At 56.9% G+C, this 13,113-nt stretch overlaps 1 protein-coding gene across 3 annotated transcripts, besides 1 other annotated feature; it reads left to right on the top strand.

Moving 5' to 3' along the window:
* Nucleotides 2,497-3,099: an enhancer, noted in NCBI's record as "H3K27ac-H3K4me1 hESC enhancer chr1:43207264-43207866 (GRCh37/hg19 assembly coordinates)". NCBI's record gives its function as "activates a minimal SCP1, AML or CMV promoter by ChIP-STARR-seq in primed H9 embryonic stem cells {active_cell/tissue: H9 hESC(primed)}" and the evidence as "EXISTENCE:reporter gene assay evidence [ECO:0000049][PMID:30033119]".
* On the top strand, nucleotides 4,456-11,599 carry CLDN19 (claudin 19). 3 transcript variants are annotated; one of them, NM_148960.3, is made up of 5 exons: nucleotides 4,456-4,851; nucleotides 6,107-6,271; nucleotides 6,379-6,463; nucleotides 8,662-8,814; nucleotides 9,558-11,599. In NM_148960.3, exons 1-5 carry the CDS (start codon nucleotides 4,629-4,631, stop codon nucleotides 9,604-9,606), a joined length of 675 nt encoding a protein of 224 aa, NP_683763.2. In that variant the 5' UTR covers nucleotides 4,456-4,628; the 3' UTR covers nucleotides 9,607-11,599. The 3 variants fall into 3 exon arrangements, with proteins under 3 accessions (NP_683763.2, NP_001116867.1, NP_001172046.1); NM_001123395.2 differs by having other exon boundaries at nucleotides 8,662-11,599; NM_001185117.2 differs by lacking the exon at nucleotides 6,379-6,463 and having other exon boundaries at nucleotides 8,662-11,599.

The raw sequence follows: 13,113 nt of genomic DNA, 5'->3' as shown, positions 1-13,113 counted from the left end.
ACAAAAACAAAAATTTCAATTAAAAAGTTTATTGGGCTGAGCACAGTGGCACACACTTGTAATCCCAACACTTTGGGAGGCCAAGTCAGGAGATCACTTAAGCCCAGGAGTTCAAGACCAGCCTTGGCAACATTGGAAGACCGTATTGCTATTAAAAAAGAAAAATTGTTTTTTAGGAAACGATTATTTTTTGAGCTGGGAGATAGCACTGCGTGTTAGTTGGCTGGTGGGAATGATCCAGTCAAGACAGTCACTCCTCCTTTTATCATGGTTGATCCCCGCCATCCTATTTGGGTGGCTCACTCGGCGTACAGAGAGGACCACGTTAGTGCAAAAAGCATGAACTTTACCCACACACTGAGCTGGGTGACACTCCCACTTCCACCATGTGGAGTTGTGTGACCTCCAGCAAGTTAGGGAACCTGTATGTGTTTCCTCACCAGCGGAATGGAATCACAGTCCTTCCCGCGATGGTTGAGCGGATGAACAAGGGAATGCTCACAAAGCAACCAGCACGACACTTAGCCCATGGTAGACATCAACATTACAGAAGACTACATCAGCCTAATTCTGGTTTTCCAGAAGTTTCCACATCAAGGCAGATGACTTTACAGTTTCAACTTATGCTAAACAGATACAGGCAGCAGCCTCTTAACTGAGCTCACAAAAGGCCAGATGTTTTCAAGGCAGCAGGCCCAAGATAAGTGTATATAGAGTGGGGCGAGTCCTCCTGGAAGCATGGGGTGATGGCAGCCCGGCTGAGATGCGACTGTGATTTCGGTCTGCGTTTGGTAACGCACATGCAAGGGCGCGCGAGCAATGAGAGGATGACTGCTTGAGAAGAAAGGAGAGAGCCCATGGGAGGGTTGGAGGGGATGAAAGGCAACTCCTCAAACACAGTGAAGATTTGGATGTGGAAGACGCCGCTGGTCTCTGGCGCCCCAGGCATCTAGCAGAGCTCTCAGCAGGGGCATCAAGAGACAGATGCTGTACTCAGTGTGGTTAGCACAGGTAAATGGGACAGCCACATGTGTCACAGAGGCGCAGGGCCCGGGCGAGAGGGTGGAACACAAAAATGTGTCTGCTAACACAGTCTCAAGGTGCTCAGGGACCTTAGGAAGGAGGTAAACGACGCAATAAGTGCAGTGAATGGAAATATGCCAAGAGTATGATGGGATTGCAGATCAGGATGCTTAGCCGTGCCTGGGCAGGCAGAATCGTTGGGGGTGGCCACACAGCTGGCTGTATTGCTTTCTAGCTGTGCGCCCTGAGGCAAGTAGTCTCCATTCCAAGCTTATAGTTCCGGGAATCTCAGACTCTGAGTTGGGAGGGTGATAAGAACTCCAAAATTTCAAATGATGATTGCAGAGAAGGTGCTAGATTGCTAAAGACTGAATCGGACCCTCCTAACTGACAATGAGAGAGGGCGGTGGAAAGGTCTCCGATTTTTCACAGGGAGGGAGGCAAAAGCATTGAATCCTCATACCAATCAGTCAATGATCAACACATACCTAGCAAGGCTGGCTCTCGGTCAGGCACTGTTGCAGAGGAAGTGGCAGTGGGTCTTCAGCCACAGGCAGTCTGCCCACTCCCAGAGTGCGAAGGCTGGAGGGGCAGACTGTGCGGGGAGTCTTTTTGGAACAGAGCTTTCATTAGTCACAGTTCTGCAGGCGTTTTATGCTTTCAAACAGCCTTTCTCACCTATCATCTGATCCTTGTAAACTCCCTCATGCATCAGACAGGGCAAGTGTTATTATCCCTACTTTTCAATGGAGAAACCAGGCCCAGGGAAGCTGAGGATTTGGCTAATGTCCCATAGCTTTTCAGTGGCAGGGGTAAAGCTAGAACTGTAGGCTTCTCATAGCCTGAGTGAAAGCACAGGGTGCTGTGCTACCCCAGGGCAGTTTCAGTGAGCTCTTAATGGAGGCTGGGCTGTGACCCTGAGCCTTCCTGTTCTCCCCGCATGTCTGGGAGTCATTGGACTGCAAGGGGGGGCACCAGGAGTGGTAGGTGTCCTGGGTGGAGAAGCTGTGCCAGGTTAAGGAATGCCGCTCCAGAAGCAGAATCTGAATTCCAAAAGGCTTTGGAACAAGAATGAGGGAAGGCCGTCAGGGTAGGAGAGAATATTTTGGTAGAACAGACTCAAAGCCTCAAATAACAAAGAGAAGGGATAAACAGAAGCACTTCAGAGGAAGAGGAGAGCACTGTTCCGGATCACGAAGAGGCTCTGGGAACACCCAGGATGGAGGAGCATGCAGGCCTCCTGCTGGCTCTGTGGCCCTGTGGACCCGTGGCTCCCTTTCTCTCTTTGGCCCTCAAATTGTCAATGGAGGGGGCCGCAGCCCATGGTCTCTGAGGCATGCTTCTGACTGGCCTCTGGGCTCCTGACCCAGGTCCCCCTGAAACCAGAATGACCCCTGGATCTTCCCTACAGAGAGAGCGCCTGCAGATGGCGGGGAAAAGGGGCCAAGGCCCAGCGTGGAGAGAAGGAGGACTTTGCCTTTGGAGGAGCATATGCGGAGCAGCTACCCAGCACCAGGCCCCTGCCCTCCCCAGACATCGCTTACTTTAACGGACCACCACAACTCCATGAAGCAAACCTCCCATTTAGAGTGAGGACCCTGAGGCACCACAGTCATTCAGGTCACCCCTGGGGAGCATCTTGTCACTGCCCGCAGCCCCCTTCAATCTGGACCTGGTGCCTCCCTCAAAAAGGGAGGAGTGTGGGAGAGAGACCACAGGGGCCAGCACCACACAGTTTCAAGCGGAAAGCCCTTCCTGCTGTTTCCTGGCTGGGGGTCTATTACCTCCCTCTGCCGTGGTCTCCTTACTGTTAGGAGGCCTGCTGCCTGCAACAGTGGCCCACATGCTTAAATTAATGCACTGGTCACAGGGTGCCCATTGCGGCCCCAGTAGGATGGAGGAGGCTCCCCTCAATCCTACTGTCTTGTCATTGTGGTAGAAGAATCTGAGCTCAGGACTTACTTCTCTGCCACTGTCCTAGACCCCATTTGGTCTTGGGACCCACAGGTCGTCCAGGAAGCAGGTCTGTGTGTGCTCGGATCCACGTGGCTCTGACCCTCCCAGCACAGAGAGCCTGAGGGTCCCAGTGTGCACCACCACAGGTCAAGCAGTGCCCACCCTTGACCCTCAGATGGCAGACCACTCCCCCATCTCTGGCCAGAGCTGCAGGCCATACCAGAGGCCTACGCCCTGGGCGGGCACACAGGGCTGCCATTGTCTGCTCAGCGCCTGGCACCCTCTCGTTTGCATAGCCACGTGAAGAATGCAAGAGCGGGCTGGGGACTTGTCCCTTCAGAGGGGGGTTGGGGCTGTGGGGGAGGAAGCCAGCAGGGGTCTGCAGCAGGACCCTGCCTTCCCCCAGTGCAGTCCAGGAAGGGTGGGTGGGCTGTTGGGGACGGAGGGGGCGGCGGGGGGCTGGCAGGAGTGGAAGCAGGGTTGTGACATTCCTTCTGCACCCACGCTGCAGTGGGGCCCACTTGAACGTGAGGGGATTGCTAATGAGGTGGAAGAGAGTTAAACATTCCCCTACTCCTGAAGACCAAGAGAGACTGGGAGAGAGAAGAGGGAGGTGGGGGTGCTCGGAGCGGGCAGCCTGAACCCCGGGAATGTGCAGAGGCCACTGCTCCGCGCCAGGCTGCTCTAGAGTTGGGGGCCAGGGCCCAGTGTTCCAGTCCCAGCAGGAGCTACTAAGCCAGCCAGCAAGGGGATTAAGGGGCTGAGCAATCCGCCTTCCTTCAGGCTGATGCCAGAAGGTTGGGGCTGTCTCCCCAGCTCCCCACCAGGCCCCTTGCTGGCCGGCAGCCAGCGCTGGCCCAGCCTCGATAGGGCCCCTTTTCTGTCCCCCTCAGATCTCAAAAAGACCCCACAGTACATATTTCCTGGTCTGGCCTCCCTGATTTTTGGCACACACAGCTCCCAGGTACCCATGACCCCTCTTCCCAACACCCCACCGCTAGCTCAGCCTCCCCACATCCAGCTTCAGAGCCCCTGCCAAAAAGTTATCCTTGACATCTAACTCTAGTTTTACCCGCTGCAAACTGGCATTCCTTTCCCTTCTGTCCTAAAGTCAAAGGGCAGAAAACCCCAAGGGTTAGATCAGCCTTGCAAGAGCAAAGTCCATCCTCCCAGGGCTGGTGTTTGGGTTAGGGATTATCCGAATTTTAGGACACCCGAATCAGGTTCCTAAAGGGGTTTCCCTGTGGGGAAAGGCCCAGAGGGCAGCTGGGTCATTCCTCTCAGCCCCTCCCTTCCCTATCCCTGCGGAACGGGGCGGGGCAGGGACACCACCTGGGCCATGGGCCGGCCCTCCGCCCCCAGGGGGCTGGGCATGAGCTTTGCTGGGGACCCTGCTCTGGCTTAGGCGGCTGCTGTGGGCGGGCCCTGGCCTTTTCCAGCCCCTGGGCCTCCCCCTGCATTCTGGAGTCCAGAGCCACTGCCTTTGCTCCAGCCGCTGCCGCCGCACCACCTCTCCTTCTCTGCCTCTGACCCTCCTTCTCGCTGCTCCCCCTGCCCAGCTGCTCCTCCCACCTGGCCATGACCAAAGCCCCTGCTGGCACCCTGGCCCAGCTCTGAGTCCTGGGACCCTCGGTCCTCTCTCCTGGGCCATGGCCAACTCAGGCCTCCAGCTCCTGGGCTACTTCTTGGCCCTGGGTGGCTGGGTGGGCATCATTGCTAGCACAGCCCTGCCACAGTGGAAGCAGTCTTCCTACGCAGGCGACGCCATCATCACTGCCGTGGGCCTCTATGAAGGGCTCTGGATGTCCTGCGCCTCCCAGAGCACTGGGCAAGTGCAGTGCAAGCTCTACGACTCGCTGCTCGCCCTGGACGGTAGGCCCCAGGCCGGCGGGGTGGGAGATGGGAGGTGGGAACAGCAGGGGAGTCTGGAGCAAGTTTTCCTCACAGTCTGCTATCTGCGCTGGGCTCCAACCTCCAGCCTCCGCTCTACAATTCCCCCACTACTGCCCTGTGCCCATTGACGGTCCAGGCCAGCCTGCTGCCCTGTGGGAGGGGAGGGCTCTAGGGTCTGGCGGCTGTGGGTCCAGATTCCTGCTCTGTCACTATAACTTTGAACTAGTCACCAAACCTCTTCCCATTGTGATGTTCTCATCTCTAAAGGGGAATACTAATACCTGTGGCACTCTGAAAGACTCAGTTAAGACCCTTCATCCACTTCTCCCCACAGTCAGTAGACAGACACACACTGTATGATGCACACCTGCTCCCTAGTCCTGCTCCCAGGCCTGTGTGCCAGCATATGGGTGCATGCACATGCATGCAAACACGCATGCACACGCACACACGTGCACATGCATGCACAGACAGGTGTGTCTGCATGCAGTCCCTCTCCTTCTGGGGTGTGGAGATGAGCCTGACAGGCACCGCCGAAGTTCTAACTCTGGGGTGGAGGTGATCCACCTGCAATCTGCCCAGGAGCCCCCAGGGACAATCTGCTCCCCATGGGAGCTGGGAGCAGAGCGGCCTTCAACCAGCCCCATTGTGCCAGTTCAGGCAGGTCAGTTCAGGCAGGTCATCTAGCCTCGCTGAGGGACCCAGGTCTCCTGAGCACCCCCCAGGGCCCAGGATGGACCCATGCACCCGTGAAGAGGCAAGCTTCCAGCTGCCATGGGCAGAGGGGAAAGTGACTGTTGTCTGAATGGCTGCTGGGGAGGGGTTGCTGCGGGGCTCAGGCTGAGTTGAGCTGGGCCTCAGATACCCCCAGCTCTTCCACCTACCAAACCTGAGGGGACCCTGGAGCTGCCCTCAGCTGCTTGGGAGGATGGGCCAAGCCCAAGAGGGAGTCCCCAGGCCAGAAAGCAACAGCAGAGTGAATCATACTACCGGAAAAGCCTGCAAGGGCGAGTGGAGAATGGCGTTGACAGTGAAGGGGACTCTCACCCCCACACCCTGTCCTCATGCCCGGGCTGTCACTCCTCACTATCCTGCACCTGCCAGAAGGTGGTCTGACCCCCCAGGCCAGCTCCTGCTCAAGCCCCTCTCAAGCTGGGCTCCTTCCACCGACCCCAGGCACCGACCCAACCCCCATCCCCGCCAGCCCGACTCAGTGTCATCCCGCCCACCCTAGGTCACATCCAATCAGCGCGGGCCCTGATGGTGGTGGCCGTGCTCCTGGGCTTCGTGGCCATGGTCCTCAGCGTAGTTGGCATGAAGTGTACGCGGGTGGGAGACAGCAACCCCATTGCCAAGGGCCGTGTTGCCATCGCCGGGGGAGCCCTCTTCATCCTGGCAGGTGAGTGCCCCTCACTCCTGCACAATCACAACCATGGCAGGCAGCCCCAGCCCCAGTGGCCTCGGGGGGCCAGAGCAGAGCTGAGCGCCCCTCTGCTTTGTCTTTAGGCCTCTGCACTTTGACTGCTGTCTCGTGGTATGCCACCCTGGTGACCCAGGAGTTCTTCAACCCAAGCACACCTGTCAATGCCAGGTGGGTGCCAGGGCTTGGGTCTTTTGCTTTACCTCCTCTGGGGCCACTGACCTTTGTCCACTGGATCACCTGGCGGGGGAAGTGGGGACAGGATCCAGCTGCTGTCCAAGAAGCTTTAAAGGGGGGCGCCAGGAGGAGTGTGGTGGGGCCCTCCATAGGGGCGGGAGGCCTGTGATGGGCACCCAGGTGCAGCAAGGACTCTCTAAGGACCTAAGTGCCCTGGCTCTGGGTTTCAATCCCAGCTCTGGCTGGGTGCAGTGGCTCACGCCTGTAATCCCAGCACTTTGGGAAGCCAAGATGGGTGGATCACCTGAGGTCAGGAGTTCAAGACCAGCCTGGCCAACATGGTGAAACCCCGTCTCTATTAAAAATACAAAAAATATCTGGGCATGGTGGCGGGCGCCTGTAATCTCAGCTACTCGGGAGGCAGAGGCAGGAGAATAGCTTGAACCCGGGAGGCAAAAGTTGCAATGAGCCGAGATTGCGCCACTGCACTCCAGTCTGGGTGACAGAGTGAGATTTTGTCTCAAAAAAATCAAACGATCAATCAATCCCAGCTTTGCATGCACTGTGTCACCTGGGCAAGTTACTTAATCTTTCTGTGCCTAGTTTCCTCCTCTGTGAAATGGAGCTAGAACCTGAGCACCAGTTCACACATGGTTGTCAGGATCCAGCAGGATGCAGGTGAGGGTGTGGCACCGTGCCCGGGCCCTGGACAGTACCCAGCAAGCCTGAGCTGTTTTCATTTCTGCTGGTGGCAGCAGGGCTGAGATGACTTCCTGCAGGAGGCAGCAGTTATTCTGGGCCAGGAAGAAACTTGAGAATAAGGGCAGATCGTGGAGGGCCTTGCAACCACAGGAAGATTTTGTTCCTCATTTGGGTGGAGGCAGCGGCAGTCCTTCTGGCTGTGATGTGCAGAATGGTGGGGAGGGAGTGACACCAGGAAGGCGGCTGTCCCAAAGGTCTGAGCAGAGAGTTTGGGGCAACAGGGAGGGAGCAGTGGAAAGCAGGCTGATATTCAGGAGATAACCAGGACTTGTAAGACTGTGGGCATGGGAACTGAAGGGGATGCTCTGCAAAGGGCCTGGGCCCACCTTGGCTCCTCCCTCACTTCTCAGCCTAGCCAGGAGCAGAGAATGGGACAGTCTTAACCCTAGACATCCCAATGGGCTTTGGGCCTTGGGGTGGAGAGAGGATGAGAAAAGATGTCTGGGCTTTTGCAATCGGGAGGGATGCCTGGAGGAGGCAGAGGTGTTGAGAGGCAAGGGGAGGGAGGAGATCTCAGGTACAAGGTTTGTTCCCTGGGTGGTGGCTGCAGCCACAAAGTCTGCCAAGCAAGGTCCAGCTCAGGCATGTCAGGATAGGACTCGGCCCCCGATCCCTTCAACAGTCCCCAATGCCACTTGGGCTGCCAGGCCCTGTGCTGGGTCCTGGGGACACTGATGGCTCTGTCTGCCCTCAAGGGGCTTCCCAGGGAGCCGGACAAGCAAGGGGCTGAGGCCTCCTGGAGAAAGCATGGTAGTGGAGTCGGCGCAAGGGGCGGGGTGAACACAGAGGATGTCAAGGAAAGACCCCACGAAGAGGTGGCATCTGAACTGGGCTCTGAAGGCAGAGAAGGAACAGGGGAGGCACAGGAGTGGTGGGCTGGGGGGCTTGGTGCCCCAGCTGGGGGTGCCTTGTGCAAAGGCACCAAGGCAGTGAGAACCAGGAGCAGGGCTGGCCTGGCCAGCAGGGTCTGGGTGTGGAGAGCCCAGAGTGCCAGGTGGAAGGGTCTGGCCTTCTCCAGAGGGCAGCGGGAGCAGTCTTGGCTGGGAGTTCTGTGGGCCAGAATGTGACTGGGAAAAAACATGGCAGGGATTGCCCCACTCCTCCCGTGCAGACCTCTCAGGCCCTCCCATGCCCCCTCCACTGGCCAGATCAGGAAATGAGCCCAAGGTTGCTCAGAGCAGGAGCTGGAGGCCCAGCCTCTAGCCTTCACGCCTACCCCAGGCCGGGTCACCCTGTGTGGTGTTGATATTCTGGGCTGGGGGGGAGGGAGAAAGGAAGAGCATTCACCTCAATTTATCTGGAGATATGGAAGAGGTTGTGAGGCTCCAGCCTCCAGCTCCACACACTCTGCCCTTCCTCTGCCAGGGCAGGGACTGGGAACAACCTGAGACGGCAGCCACACCTGATGCCACTCTCCCTACCCCTTGCAGGTATGAATTTGGCCCAGCCCTGTTCGTGGGCTGGGCCTCAGCTGGCCTGGCCGTGCTGGGCGGCTCCTTCCTCTGCTGCACATGCCCGGAGCCAGAGAGACCCAACAGCAGCCCACAGCCCTATCGGCCTGGACCCTCTGCTGCTGCCCGAGAGTACGTCTGAGCTCCGCCTGCCCTGGCCAGCCCCCCACCCAGTGGCCCCCTTGCCCAGCATCCAGCCAGCCTCGCAGCACCCTGGGCAGGGCCACTGGGGCATAGGATGGGCATAGGTGCTCTGAGCAGCTTGTCCTCAACACAAGCACCCACCCTGCAATCTGAGACCCAGATCCTCAGAGAGACACCAGAGGCAGGACCCAGCCCCCAGGCATACACACAGATGCAGGTCCAGGCACGGTCTTGTCTGCACAGCCTGGTGGGCACCAGCATGCATCCCTGGAGACAGGCCCTCAGGCACCAGCCCGGCTGTTTACTCACTGAAGAGCTGCTTGGGTGTCTGCTACGTGCTGGGCCCTAGAGATAGAGCAGTGGCCAAGACGTACCTTAGTACCCAGGTCCTTGGGGTGAGCAGAAACCTTCACCCTCCCCAGTCCCATGGGCTCCTCACAGCAACCCCACAAGGGCAGTGCCGGGATGCTGAACGTTCACACAAGGACAGGGAGGGTCTGAGTTTAGGTCTCAGGTTCTTCCAGTGCGCCCAGGGCTGGGGGCCACCTACACAGATGGTGAGGTCGGACCATGGCGCCCCTGCCCCCGGGAATGGGCCCCAGGCAGGGCTGCTGTGAGGGCCAAGGTCTGGCCACGCTGGCCAGTACCCATGTCCGGGCCTGAATGCACAGCCCCTGCCCCCGACCCCACAGCTCACTCCACTAACCAGCTCTCTCTCTTTTGACTTTCAGACCAGTTGTTAAATTGCCCGCCTCCGCCAAGGGCCCCCTGGGTGTGTAATGTCCAGTCCCCAGCCAGGCTCTGTCCCCTGCCATACCTAGACTGTGTGTTTCATATTTTTTTGGAAAGAGAAGTGAACATCCAGCCCCAATCATGGTATCATTCGGTCTGTCCTCAGCGTGGCTTGGACGGGGCCTGTGTCAGAGTGGTCAGTGCTGACCCCTGGGGCTCTTGGGCAGAAAGATGAGGAGACAGAGGTCCAGGGTGGGTTACATAGCACATCCAGGGCTAAGCAAGAAATAATTCAGAGGTCCTACCCTCTGTCTAGGGACCCCCCTCCCAAGCCTGGCCTTGGCCTTGGCACAAAGTCCTCCTTGATAGGAGATCCCACTCACTCCTGGAGGCTGCCCCTGAGGCTTGGCCCAGCTCTAGGAGCAGTCCCCAGGGTCAGGGAGCCCCTGGTGTGGAAAGAGGCCCCAAGGTAGTAAACCCTGCCCCTGTTACTGTGCTCCAGAGACCTCCTAAGGGAAGGGACAGTTCCTGGAAGGCCCTCCAGCTGGATGCTGGGGATCAGCGATAGGTGAGGGGACACAGTGTAGGAGCTCCCCATGTAGAAAAGGGAATGTGGGGAGGGCGTTAGGAGCTTGCAGGCATTAGGACTGTCCTGAGCAAGGTCTGCAGCCCCCAGCTCTGCTCACCCCGAATCCTGCCCCTTGTTTCCACACCTACCATTCCTCCTCTCCTGATCCCCAGCATCCAGCTGAGGTCCAAGGTCTTTGTCCTAGAATCAGAGTGGGGAGGGGACAGCCTGGGGCTGCCCAGAGACTGTGGGTGGAGCTGCCTGCTGCACTCAGCAGTGCGGTCAGAGAAGGGCTTTTGGTCTTGAAGTCCAGGTACCATCCCCCCTTAGCATACAGGGGGAAGGGCCTGAGAGGAATGTAAGGAAACCAGCCCAGATCAGTCCCAAGGCCAGAGTCCTTTGTCCTACATCTCCCTGAACCAGAGTGTGCCCTGCCCCTCATGCTCAGACCTCTCCCACCCCAAACCCTCTCCCGGGACTCAGTCTCCCTGGCCACTGCGTATCAGGCTTCTGGGGAAAGCATCCATCACAGAACCTCCCCTTCCCTGCCACGCACCTTCCTTGGCCAGCTCCATTCTGGCCTCCTCCACCACCTGCCTTGTGACCACATCTCCCACCACGTCCCCAGATCTCAAGAACGCAGCTCAGCTTCTCCTTCGAGCTTGACTCTGAGAGGGAAAGTGACGGAAACCAAGTCAGATGAGATGACTGCCATGTACACTGCAGTCAAGGGCAGGGAGGGGAGGAATGACACAAATGGCAGGGAGCTGCTGGGGGACTGACCCCTCGGCGCCTGGCCTGGCCGGTGCTGCACATCCACCGGGGCACAACAGGGACTTGTCCAGCCTCTGGTCAGAGGATGTGGCCACCTGACCCTAAATAGGTTCCCCAGAGTCCTGCCCCTCTAATGAATGAGAACTGCAGGAGTTTCTCCTCTGGGTGCCTGAAGCTATAGTGCAATGGTTCCCAACCCTGCATGCACATTCGAATCACCTGGGGGCACAATGCCTAGGCTCCAACCCCAGACACTCTTATTTCATTGGTCTGGGTGGACCTGGCATCAGAAGTCATGTAGCTCCTCAGGGGACTGTAGTGTGTGGTCAGCACTGAGGGCTCCTCTATGAGGCCTCAAGCCCAGGTGACTCTGTGAGGTCTGCAGAGGGAGAAAAGAACCCACAAGGGAAGAGGTGGAGGTCAGGCACGGTGGCTCACGCTTGTAATCCCAGCACTTTGGGAGGCCGAGGTGGGTAGATACCTGAAGTCAGGAGTTCGAGACTAGCCTGGCCAATATGGTAAAACCCCGTGTCTATTAAAAATACAAAAATTAGCTGGCTGTGGTGGTGGGCACCTGTAATCCCAGCTACTCGGGAGGCTGAGGCAGGAGAATCGCTTGAACTCGGGAGGTGGAGGTTGCAGTCAGCCAAGATCGTGCCACTGCACACCATCCTGGATGACAGAGCAAGACTCCATCACAAAAAAAAAAAAAAAAAAGAAAAGAAAAGAGGTGGGTAGCCGGGCGTGGCGGCTCATGCCTGTAATCCCAACACTTTGGGAGGCTGAGGTGGGTGGGTCACAAGGTCAGGAGTTCGAGACCAGCCTGGCCAACATGGTGAAACCCTGTCTCTATTTTTAAAAAATACAAAAATTAGCCGGCTGTGGTGGTGGGCACCTGTAATCCCAGCTACTCGGGAGGCTGAGGCAGGAGAATTGCTTGAACTCAGGAGGCGAAAGCTGCAGTGAGCCAAGATTGTGCCACTGCACTCCAGCCTGGGCAACAGAGCAAGACTCCATCTCAAAAAAGAAAGAAAGAAAAGAGGTGGGGAGAGGAAGCCCCACTCACTCCTGCCTTTCCCAATACCAGGCTGTTCTGTGACACGCCCACATCTTCCCAATCAATTCCCCTTTTGGCTGAAAAAACGTTGAGTTTGAATCCTGTCCCACACAGCCAGAAGAGCCCTACCTAACAGGATTTGGAACCTGGAAACTCAGCACAGCCTTGCGGAATCCTGTTATATGGTGCCAGTGGAGCAGGGGTGGGATCATCCTCCTATTCTAGGCTGGGTGTTGGGCAGTCCTTGCTATTTGGTCATGAAGCAGCTGGCCAGGAAACCACACGTCATTCTCTCTTGAGATTCAGGGTCCAATGGAGAATGCGAGGATAGAGTGTGCTGGCTACTTCTTGTGGGTTTCAGGGATAGGCTGCAAGACAGACAAGATACATGCAAGTGGCGGGGGGCGGCGGGAGCGCTGGAGGGGGTGCCTGATGGCAAAGTGGGAACAAGCTTCAGTCTGTTCCTTAGGGGAAGCCCTTTCTGCCTATAGCCAGGGATTAAAGATGCAGAGGGTCAGAGAACCACACGTCTCGCTGAATTAAACAACCAACTAACACACTGATTTAAAATGTAGTGAGATCCTGGCAATGAGAAGATATCTGGGAAAAAACCAGAGGAATTTGAAGCTAAAAGACTGAGATGCCTGTTCCCACAGGCTTCTCCTGAAGCAAACCCACTCATATATCTACAACAAGGCCACCTGGGCTGCCAACTGGAGGCAGGGCTGATAATCCGGGCGTCATGTCCAGGTTGTTGTTTACTGTCCTAGCCTTAAGGCTAAAGGACTGGGGAGAGACCCAGGAAGGTAGGGCTCAGACTCAAAAGGCATGATTCTAAGGCTTTTGCCTTATTCTAAAGCATTGTGTATTACTAAACAGAGTCGTCCTGTTCCCCGCCCCCCCCACCCCAGAAGGAAATTGGCAGGCCATAAAATATGATTGTAGGAGGAATACACCCATGTACTCAGCCCCAGGGCCAAGGAGCACAGAAACAGAAGATGTTCAGCAAAAAGGAGTGAACCTGAGCCCCTGGAGAAGCTGATCAGGAAAATATGCTATTGCTTGGGAAGAGGCTCAAAAACTGTGCAGCTGAGAATAGAGCGTATGGACTGACTACTAGATTATCAAGGAGTTATTGTTAATTTTGTGTTACAAA

The sequence above is a fragment of the Homo sapiens genome, chromosome 1 (genome assembly GCF_000001405.40).
Source record: "Homo sapiens chromosome 1, GRCh38.p14 Primary Assembly".
In the NCBI taxonomy this organism is placed as follows: Eukaryota; Metazoa; Chordata; class Mammalia; order Primates; family Hominidae; genus Homo; species Homo sapiens.
This window is presented reverse-complemented; position numbering and strand designations above follow the sequence as displayed.

Coding starts and splice junctions, on each gene's coding strand:
- CLDN19 (NM_148960.3), top strand. CDS start 4,629: ATGGCCAACTCAGGCCTCCAGCTCCTGGGCTACTTCTTGGCCCTGGGT. Junction 4,852..6,106: donor CTCGCTGCTCGCCCTGGACG/GTAGGCCCCAGG, acceptor CGCCCACCCTAG/GTCACATCCAATCAGCGCGG. Junction 6,272..6,378: donor AGCCCTCTTCATCCTGGCAG/GTGAGTGCCCCT, acceptor CTTTGTCTTTAG/GCCTCTGCACTTTGACTGCT.